Source organism: Homo sapiens, chromosome 2, assembly GCF_000001405.40.
Source record: "Homo sapiens chromosome 2, GRCh38.p14 Primary Assembly".
In the NCBI taxonomy this organism is placed as follows: domain Eukaryota; kingdom Metazoa; phylum Chordata; class Mammalia; order Primates; family Hominidae; genus Homo; species Homo sapiens.
The window spans coordinates 64,353,942-64,364,881 of NC_000002.12; the positions used below are offsets into that span (position 1 = coordinate 64,353,942).

The 10,940-nt window shown below is 48.4% G+C and overlaps 1 annotated feature.

Annotated features, from left to right (window-relative positions):
• Positions 9,963-10,102: an enhancer, noted in NCBI's record as "active region_15892". NCBI's record gives its function as "activates an Ori minimal core promoter by ATAC-STARR-seq in GM12878 lymphoblastoid cells {active_cell/tissue: GM12878}" and the evidence as "EXISTENCE:reporter gene assay evidence [ECO:0000049][PMID:35858748]".

A 10,940-nucleotide genomic window follows, 5' to 3' on the forward strand; every position in this document is an offset into this window, starting at 1 on the left:
TGGTGGGCGCCTGTAGTCCCAGCTACTCGGGAGACTGACGCAGGAGAATGGCGTGAACCCGGGAGGCGGAGCTTGCAGTGAGCCGAGATCTCGCCACTGCACTCCAGCCTGGGCGACAGAGCAAGACTCCGTCTCAAAAGAAAAAAAAAAGAGAAATGCTAAAGAGAGTACTTCAGTCAGAAAGAAAATGACATTAATGACTACTAAGAAATCATCTGAACGTACAAAACTCACTGGTAATAATAAGGAAAAGGTGGAGATAGTGATCGGGTACAAAAAAAATAGAAAGAATGAATTAGACCTACTATTTGATAGCACAACAGGGTGATGATAGTCAATAATAATTTAACTGTACATCTTAAAATAAGTGAAAGAGTATAATTGGATTGTTTGTAACACAAAGGATAAATGCTTGAGGGGATGGATACCCCATTTTACATGATGTGAGTATTATGCATTGCACATCTGTATCAAAACATCTAATGTACCTCATAAATATAAACACTCAGTACACAAAAAACTAAAATTAAAATCTTAATAAACAAATATTACAAAAGTAAATATTGAGAACCCTTTCTCCCAGCTTTATGCCCACCACCCTGCAAATAGGTAATAACTTTTAGTAGTTTCTTGGTAATGGAACTTCTTTAAAAATAGTATTGAAATAGGTTTTATAAGTTAGATTGGACCCATCCACCTCTTTCTGGAAGAGACTAGCTGGTACTGAGCACTGAGCAGTGTGGTCATACTTGGGTACCACAGCGTGCACAGGCAGAGGCAGCCCCCCAATCTTGCAGACTGGCATAGTGTCCAGTGTGGGTGCAGTTGGATACCCCAGAGCCAAGCTAACAGGGCATGGATCTGAGGCCATCAGTGTGGTTGAGGTTTTCCCCCTGTGACATCTTTGGTCTAATAATAATCCCCAAGGAAAGGGTATCAGTGTTTCCTAGAAACACATGACGAAGTCTGTAATCTGTCCCACCTTCAACCACAAGCAAACTTCTGCATACTCAGGATTACACGCATCCTCACAACTGAGATGACATTCCAAACCACAAGCACAACTCTTTGTTTTTGTGGTCACCACGTACAACAAGATAGCAGTTGATTTCCTTCACTCTCTTGGTTATGGTTGAGGAGATCAGCGGGAGAGTGGGAGGGAGGAGCTCCCTTCTGAGGGCTGGTCCCACAGGGCCCGGAGCTGGAGCGGGAGCAGAAGCTGGACTGGGAGAGAGCACAAGGCAAGCTGGGGAGAAATGCTGAACCACCCTGCCACCTTAGCTTTAGAATGTGTCAAAGGCATCTTTTCCTCACGCCACTCCTGGCCACATCCCTACTCATCACTCATCTATAAGGTTGTTTCCCAGTGAGTCACCTTCTCGGGCTTGCAGGCAAGCTCCCAACTCCTTCTGGCCTCAGCCAAGGGCACTTTCCAGACTTCTCCACTTATTCCCACCCTCCACAGGGCCCTGGAAATGTCACTGAAATCTCTCATGGTGTGTGAACTTCCCGGTGCCACAGCACATCCTGGAGATAATGGCCAAGGGAAGCAGACCACTTGCCCATTGCACTTTCTGGGCCATCTGTCTGATTTGAACTTAGGAGGATGAGGAAATGATCGGGCAAAGACAAACCAAACAGAGCTCGTGGTCCCACCCTAGAGCAGCATGTCATTGCTTACCTAGCCTAGAGTGGATACATTTTTCTGTTTGGTTCAAGTAGCATTAATTAATGTGTTCAGGAAAGTGATGATTGTCATGGGGACTAAGGGGGAGAATTTAAGGAGGAGAGGGAAAGGGTGGGAGCCAAAGTTCAGAGAACAGGAAATGTCTCAAGAGCTCTGGAAAGACAGCCTGTGATCAAATGTGTAGATGTTGAAGGAAATTCACATGGAGGAAAGGTGTGGTGCAGGTTGGACTCGGTACTGAGGGCACTAGAAAGGCAAGATGCCAAGCACTTTCCAGCAGGGCAAGACGCCGAACGCTTTCCTCATTTTCCTCATGCTCATGGAAGTCTCTCCCCTCTTTCATTTGATCAATGCATATTAGCCCCTACTTCACTTATGGGCACTCAAGAATCAACTAAAACAATGTCCTTCTCTGCATATTTTTTCCTGTTTCATTGGATATCTCCTCCTCAATTTTTGAGAAGAAATACAAGGTTATAAAAATCTGAATAAATTTTTCTCTGGAAGACTGATTTCGCCACGAGTAGTTCATTTCCAGAAATATAATCCAGTAACTATGTCCATGCAACACTCTTTGTAAGAATTTTCACAAGTCATAGTCACTTGCTTTCTTGAGGGTGACTGGCTCTTCCTTCAGTTCGTGGGATAAAGACTAGATCACTACTTCATGAGTTAGAAACAGAGTAGAGGAGTGTTATTTTGGTTTTCTTCATGCTGTTTGGGACTCTTGCTGTACTTTTTCTAAAACTCTGTTTTTGAGGCCACACAGACAGAACATTCTTTTGTACTCTTGTTGCTGTCTGGTAATATTTACTTTCATCTTATGGATTAAAGAGAGCTCAGATTTCTATATTTTAATACATGTGACCTAGATAGTGGTAAACCACCCACACTCACCCATAACTGTTTCAGATATGATACAGTACGTCTAAATATGCCTTTTGAAATTCTGATTAGCTCAGGGCAGGGGAGTATAAATTGCCTATGTTCCACTGACAGGAATCTTGCTGTTGGAGACTTCTCCAGTACCCGCCAAGCACAGACCACCTGGGGGAAAAGAACAAGAAGTATTCTCCCTCCCAGCTAAGTAGAATAACCTTTACTTCTGTCCTTCAGCACATGAACTGTAACTAAATACCTGTTTCATCAAAGCCAGATCCTCCCTCCTCTGGAAAGATTCCCCATCTTCCCAGGGACTGAACTCCTTGGGATACCCCCTTTTTCTCCTTTCTACTGCCTTGTTCCCTCTCCCTGACCTCAGAATTATTCCCATCTGCATAAAAATACACACTAAAAATTCCCCTTTTCACATGTCCCCCAGCTGCAGCTGCACTCCTCTGCTCCCACCACACTCAACATTTCTAGAATGAGTCCCCTGTTCACTGCCGTAGCCTCTGCCTTCACCACACCACTGAAATAGCCCTGTTCAAGCCCGAGTGACTGCCCTGTTGCCAAATCCAGTGGTCATGTTTTTGTCCTAGTCTTCTCCCCCTGCCCATTCCCTCCTCCTGGACCCCTGCTTGCCTCCTGGGCCAACCCCTCTCCAGGTGTCCCTTCTCCTTCACCACCATGTCTGCCCAGTCTCCTCTACCCAGCTTTTAATAGCCCAAGCAGTCCAGGATTTGGTTCCAGCCTCTGCCCTCCTTAGTCTCTTCTACCTGAGGCACCTCATCCTTGTCTGGGGATTGAAACACCCTCTTTATGCTGTTGACTCCCAAATGTCACTCACCAACCCAGACCTTTCCAGCGCAAGACTGGCTCATACAACTCTATGTGGCTTCTCTCAGTTCAATGTCTCATGAATCTCCAAGTTTAACCCATCCAAACCAAGGGCCGATAGGCATTTCTGAGCATTTGGGAATTAAAGGAATTTATTCTTGCTGCCTTTGTTCTGGATGATGCTGCCTGCTGATAAAATCTCTCTCTCTCTGTGTGTGTGTGTGTGTGTGTGTGTGTGTGTGTGTGTGTGGCACCTGGAGTTCTATGTGTACAGTATCCTGACAGGCAGCTGTGTGTCATTTTCCCTGAGCGAATTCCTACTGAACTGCCTTTTCCTACTGGTTCTGTGATATTTTGAATCACTGCCTTCTGCACCTCAACACCAACAAACGTCCACATCCTACATATTTCCTGGAATGCTGGGAAATGCTCCCTAAATTATGATGACTGTTCTGCTGGGACTATGGGACCAGGTTATACCCTTTCAGGTAGGGATGGAAAGAAAGTTCCGCCTGAAGGAAAGAGATCATTAACCGTCATTCAATCCAGAAGAGTTGATTCTGGGCCTTAGATGTAAGCAAGACAAACCATGATCCCTCTCTGTGTTCATGGCATCAATCAAGCCTGGAGAAATTGAAGATGTCAGTAGTGGACTGGTCACTGAGTTACATGAACATAAAACAATGTTTGAAAGCTCTTTTTGCTTAAGTCAATTTACTCACGAGTCCAACCCCATCCTGGCTGTTCCCTAAGGTCCTAAACTCCTCAATCATGAATGCTTCCATTCAGGGAACACTGGGATAATAGTACACACAAGAGGAGAATGTGAAGCTCTGGCCAGAGGTTCTCAATTGTGCTACATGTTGGAATCACCTGGAGGGCTTTAAAAAATGTTGATGACTGAGACCTTACCCAGAAACTCTGATTTACTTCATCTGGGGCATGGTCTGGTCATTGATAGGTTAACAAAACCTCCCAGGTGATTCTAATACCCAGCCAAGATTGAGAGTCCTACTCTGGACTATGCTGGCACAAACTGCACAAGGTTTTTTTCTTCAACACATGCCGATTTCCAGCAGTATAATTTCAGCTTCAGAGAGAAGCTTGGGCTTGCACTCATCAGATGGCACTGCCTCATCATGTGCAGTGTAGGGCTGTGTTTCCCCTGATAGACTGTGAGTTCTTTGAGGACTGGGGCCATGTCATTGCGTCTGTTTCTCCAGTGTCTAGTACATCACAGGAGCTCAATAAATGATAGCTCAGTGAATGGATGAACATGAAGCAAGGTGAAGTAGACAGTTGCCCCAGTCCCCGTGCCCTTGAGTTCACCTTCTGAGATGCACCTGCAGTGGCATGTCAGTGTGCACTCTGCATCACAGTTCATTCTGAGCTTGTCTCCAAGTTTCCCATACAGGGCACTCCGTGTGGGATTCTTCTCCACACTCCCATTGTTCTGCTGCTGCCTCCTCCAACAAGGCAGGGAAACTCCCCACAATAGGCTGGTTTCCTATTTGTGATGGTGGGGGGACTGTCACCTCAAGGTGTTTCATCCAGCCATTCCACACCTGCTCTCCTACTGGCCTAGGAATGTGGTACCCTGAACACTGGAAGGTCTGGAACCTAATGGGTGGTTCTGAGAAAGCATTATGGATGGTTTCTCTTTGAGATGTGTCACTGGTTTGACATTGTCATCTGTCACTCTCTGAGTCTCAGGATGACATCCCTTAGATGGGGACTCTGGGGGTGGTGGCTGGAGACGCCAGCATCATTGGTGCTTTGCCTTTGTTTAGCTCAGTTCCTATTCGGAATCCTTCACAATGGGGTGTTTTAACCAGGGACTCATACATGGCTCTTGGGGAGGGAGATCCATGACCCCCTGGAGTCACATGTCAGTATTGTACAAATACACTCTATGCACATTTCTCTAAAGAGAGAGAACCCCTCAATTTTAATCAGATTCTTAAAGTTGTCCATGACCACAAAAGGTTTGACTCATCTACCTCCCACTGTCTTCCCCACAGTTTTAACTTCCCACTGTTCCTAGAAGGCCTTGAGAGGGTGAGTTCTAACATCATTCTGCCACAAAGACCTGGAATGGGGTTGTCTAGGTTAGACCAGCCTGTGCATGTAGAACAAGACTACAAATTATTTGGTTTTCTGAAAACTTGGAAGGTAAAGGGGAGTATTATTAGTGGCCATCCTTCATCTTCCAACATGGACATTGATGCCACATGCAAGTGCGTGTGCCTGAGTGTGTGTGTGCATATATGAGTGTGTGTGTCACTGGCAGGGCTTCTCACACTGAGCATGTGTGTAACATCTGACAAGCAGCTGTGTCTCATTTTTTCTCGGCTTTTCCTGGTTGACTGACCATACGTTTCCTAGGTTTTGTGATGCTTATGCAAAATGGCCAGAATGCCCTCAGAGAGCTCAGCTGCCTGCTACCAACACGCCCACTTCCTGCCCACCTTGGACTACTCACACAACCCCCTGTTTCATCCCTTTCTCCAGGGTGGATTCTGTTTATTTGCAGCAAGATGCATGCGGTGTTGCCTCCTTCTTCTCCCTGGCACTCTGAAAGCACTCTCTGAGGCTGGGCGCCACCCCTACCTGAGTGTGTCTCACTGGCAGCAGCTGTGGATGAAGGGAAGTCTTATCTTCCCTTTGGCAGAGGCAGCAGCCCATGGAGCGGGTAGCCAGTGCCGTGCACACTCAGCCCCATTCTCTGTGGCAGTGGAAAGAGTGACAAGCATGGGCTTTAAACAGGGAAGCCAGTCTGGGGACTGCTAAGGCTCTAATAAGGCAGACTCAGAGAGAGCTAGGTGACCCCGCCCAGGACTGAGTAACGTTTGAGTCAGCATGGGCTGGCCTGGAAACGCAGAGTCGAACCTGCTTGTTCTCTGACTAGCCTGAGACTTGGCTCACAGCTGTCCCAGGCAAAGCAGAACACGTGGGAGCCTTGCTCCCTGCCCTCCCTGATGGCCTGATCTCCAGCCTCCTTTCCACTGCCTTCTCCTGCCAAGCCTTATATTTCCTCCTGGAGAACATTTCTCCCTCAGGCAGGGGAGCCTCCCTCATCAGGCTGTTGGTGCTGGCATAGTAAAAAAGGCAGGATGGCACCAGGGGGCACTTGTCTCTGTGTATGTTGTGCTCTGATATCAGGGCGGTAGCTCCAGCATGAGGAATGTGGATATCCTAGGCTTTGCTGATTGAGGGGTCCTGAACCTATGGGCTTCTCTCCTTGCCCAGATTTTTCTGTGTGTAAACCCCATGCACATATGAACACCTACTTAAGTGCATATGGTACCGTATCTGGTGCCTGCCCTCAGACAGAACCAAGATATGTGTGGAAACCTTGTCTGCACACAAGAATAACGACAATTATTTGGAAACAACAGCTGACATTTATTGAGCGCAAACCATGCTGGATACCTTGCTATGCACTTAACGTGAATTATCTATTTTAATTCTCACACTACATGTGAAGTAGGTCCTCCTATTATGATATTTTACAGAGCAAAGTGAGGCTTACCAGAGTTAAGTAACTTGCTCAAGATACACAGTAAGTGGTTGAGCTGAGCATCAAATCCAAGTTCATCTCCACAGCTGCGTGCATAACAACCATCAGGAACTAACCCTGTGAGGACGTCAAGGCACTGTGAGCAGCCAGAGAGTGGTCCAAACAGCAGGTGACACAGGAATTCCGTAGAATGAAAAAGCCTGATGATAAGAGGAAGGCGAAGGAACAGAGTGGGAAGGAGAAATGTGATGATTCTGGAAAACAACACCTTGAACTTTGCCATGCAAATCTGTTGGTTCCACTTAAAGCTTGATATTGAGAAGTCTTATAGGGGATGCCCATAATGATCTCTAAACTACCCAATCTCCCCACTCTGACAGATCCTCCCTGCCACAGTTTCAGAGCCCTTTGTCATCTGCTGCCAGCCCCAGCCCACGCCGGCTGATTTCCAAGGGAGATGCTGTAGCTGCCCTTCGCGTCCACACACTCTGTCAGTGCCCCGGCCAGATCCACTCAAAACCCTCCCCACAGCCCACCCCCGCCAGCTGTGGGAGCTTTGCTGGGAACAACCTGCCCCTGTGGCTCCCTAACAGTCCTGTCCTCAAGCTAACAGAGCCACTTTCACCCTTCAGGAGCAGACAGGCTGGGAATGTATGAACCCTCGAGGCCACCTGCAGCCAATGATTGATAACCATATGACACTCAGCTCGCTTGCCTCAAGGTGGAACAAACTCTAAGGTGTCATTTCTACTCCAGAGCTCCTCAGGGGCCAGGCTGCTGCTGACTTCACCTGAGGTAGCCCCTTGCTTTCCTTTTCTGTTCCACTGTCCACATTCCCTTGCGATTTTCGTGGGAGCACAGCCTTCATAACCACATGTGCACAAACCCTTATCTCAGGGTCAGCTCCTGGAAGCAGACTTAATGTAGTGTGGCTGTGAAGTTCCACGGACATCTTCAAAGAGACTGAATTGACTTGAACTGACTATGCACCATGCCAGCCTGAGACTCTGGGGGCCTTCACTGGATCAAAGAACCACTGAAGGAAGAGGAAGCGATTCCATAGGGCAGGGAAACAGCTGGCTCTCACTGCCCCCAGGGGAAAGCCTACTACGCTCAGCGCCTTGGATGGCAGTCAGCATGAAAGGGTGAGCAGTGGTCCTCACTCCCAGAGACAGGACTGCAGCCCTCAGCCCTTGCTCATTCCTGCATCACAAGCACAGGAGAGGCTAGAATTAGTGAGGAAGGAGGAACAGAGGAGGGGGAATGCGCTGGCTCCTAAGGGTAGGTAAAAGGGGAGGGAGGACGTTTGGGGGAAGGAACAGGCTGAGTGATGAGGAGCAGGTCCTCTTGGGCCTTCTGTCCCTCAATGGAGCTAGACCTGAGGCCACAGCCTTGCAGCCCCCTCACTGACAGTCTGACCCCTCTAGTCCCCCTGAAGAGCCCTCACCCCATACCTAGGACAGCCACTGAATATGAGCCCTTTCTTCCTTCAGTTACTCCTGCTCCTTTAAACCACAGCAGACTCAGGTGAGAGTAGGTCGTGATTTCCACAGGGTTACCTCATCCAAGAGCTGTGCCCCCCAGAGCTAAAGTAAGGATGATTTCAGGAGAATACCCACAGAAAATAGGTCTCTTTCTCCATGGACATTCCATTCACTCCCTATACATATACGTGTTTCGACACACACATGCACACACACACACACACACACACTTGTATTTTCTCTTCTGTGCATTGACCTCAGTCCAGGCCTGCTGGTTAGGCAGGTGTTGTACAGCCAGACTCTGGGGTTCATGGATTTTCCTGGTTGAGTAAGAACTGACTGGCAGCCTGACAGAGCTAAGCACAAGCTCAGGTCACAGAAAAAGTGGTGGGGCTGCGAGAAGGAAAGTGAAGCACCCCAGGGCCTTGAGACCTGCCTAACAGCAATGAGCCACTCCCCTGCTTGAGTCATCTCCACTCTCTCCTCCACACCTGCACAGAAAGAGTGACCTGCTGCCTGGGGAATGCAGGTGCCTCCCTCCACAGCCTCGTCCCAGGGAAACAGCTGTTCTACCTTTGGGAAGAGGGAGTCTCTTCCTTGGCCCTGCAGGGATGCCGTCTCCTGCCTTCTTCCTCATTCCCAAAGCTGTGGCAATTCTCCCTCCCTGTGCGATGCCAGGCATGGTCTTTGCTGGCGTCCATTCTCCATTCATGGGTGTTCACCCATCATGAACCAGGAATGTGCTTCCTCCTGTCAGTACGGGACAGTCCTTGTATGGGAAACATACAATTCCTCCTCCCACTGTCAGAACTTCCACTGGTACTTCTCCCCACAGCCAAGCTCAGGCCTCAAAGTAGGCTGAGAAAATCTTCAGCAGGGAATATAGAGTTCTTAGTGTATATTTTTTTCCACTCGGGAAAAGCAACAAATTTATATTCCCTCAGTAAAAATTCAGTCAACCCTCAAGGCTACCATGGACAGTGGTGTTGGTTGTACCCTGCACAAATATGCCCTGCTGAGGGGATGAGTGGAGGCTGAAATTCAGCTACAGCTCACTTGCCACAGTGTGTATTCTGGTATGGGACTGCATCCGTTTAAAGTTTGCACAGAAGCACCTCTTGATCGTTGGGCTCCGTACCCAGAATGGGCACCTTTTCCTAAGGCATGCAAGACTCACTATAGGATAGCCTCTGCCCTGCCAACCTTGCTTCTCTCACCTCCTGCCTAGAAGTACTTTTGTCTTTGCCCATTCTTACAAGGCAGTATTTTTCCCCTTTCACCTCCTCCTTCTCTGTCTGAGGACAGTCTGATAGGATCAGAGACCCACAGACTGTCACTGCCATTGAGAAATAACATCCATGTGCCTTTTGAGTTCTTATTCTCAGATGGACAGCCACCCCAGTCATACTGGGCAGAGCTGTCAAGGGTGGTTTGCCCGTCCCTTCAGCCTGGTCTTCCTTCCTGATCTTCCTGTCTTCCTTCTTTTCCTCCTATAGTGTCCAGCAAGACCATCTCTCATGAAGCTTGCTCTTGAGGAGATAGAGTCACAGGAGGTGAGCAAGGACTAACCTGAAAAGATCCCCTCTAGCCCCACCCTGCCCTGGCTGCAGCCTCAGGAAATGGCAGGTGGAGCTCATCATCAGGCCTGGCTCCAACGCCCCCTTGCTTTTCTATGAAATATTTCTCTTCGCTTGTAGCATTGCATCTTCTTCTGCCAGGCTGTGAGCTGGAACTAAGCATCCCAGCTGGGGGCATTCCTCAGCACAGAGGGGAGCTTAAGCAAAGTTTGCAGAAAGTGCCTCCTGGGGCAAATGGCCTGCACTGGCTTCAGTCTGATGTGGTGGAGGCTGTCACTGCATATCTCAGACAGATTCTCCCTGCTCCTTTACCCCTGAGTTTTCTCTTTGCAACTTCCCTCCTCAGTTGTTTGCAGGAAGCAGCAATTAAGAGTTTGCCTTGTGTTGTTGGAGCTCCTCGAGCTTAACTCTGAAGCCCTTGGCTGGGCAGACCTCCTGTGGGTCCTTCTGAGGGCTTGGGGCTCGGTAGATAATTTAGAGCCAGTTTGGTTCCACGGATGGGGCCCACCCCACATCCCCAGGCTTCACCTGTAGCACAGGAGGGGCCAGACCTGCTCACTTTCAGGTGTACCCTGATCTGGGGACTCTGCCAAGCTCATAGCCAGGGCTCAGCCTGTTCCAGTATCATACTGGGGGTCTGAGCACAGCTTAGTAGGATAGGAGGCAGGGCTCAGATAGACCCAGACCATGGTTTGGAAATATCACGTTCCACTAAGAGGAATCAGGCACCTTGGAAAAATAGCCAATTCTAGGGCTGGAGCGGAGATATATGAGCTCGGAATACCTTGTGGCTGTGAGCCAGGTAGTACTCAAAGAATGACAGGAACATGTCAAAAGGACACAGCAGCCAGCTTTAAGGAGCTCCCACTGGCTGTGTTCAGGACAATTTGAGCATCAAAATAGTGATAATAATGGATTCTAGTCTATTTACTATGACAGGAATCTTTGAGCCC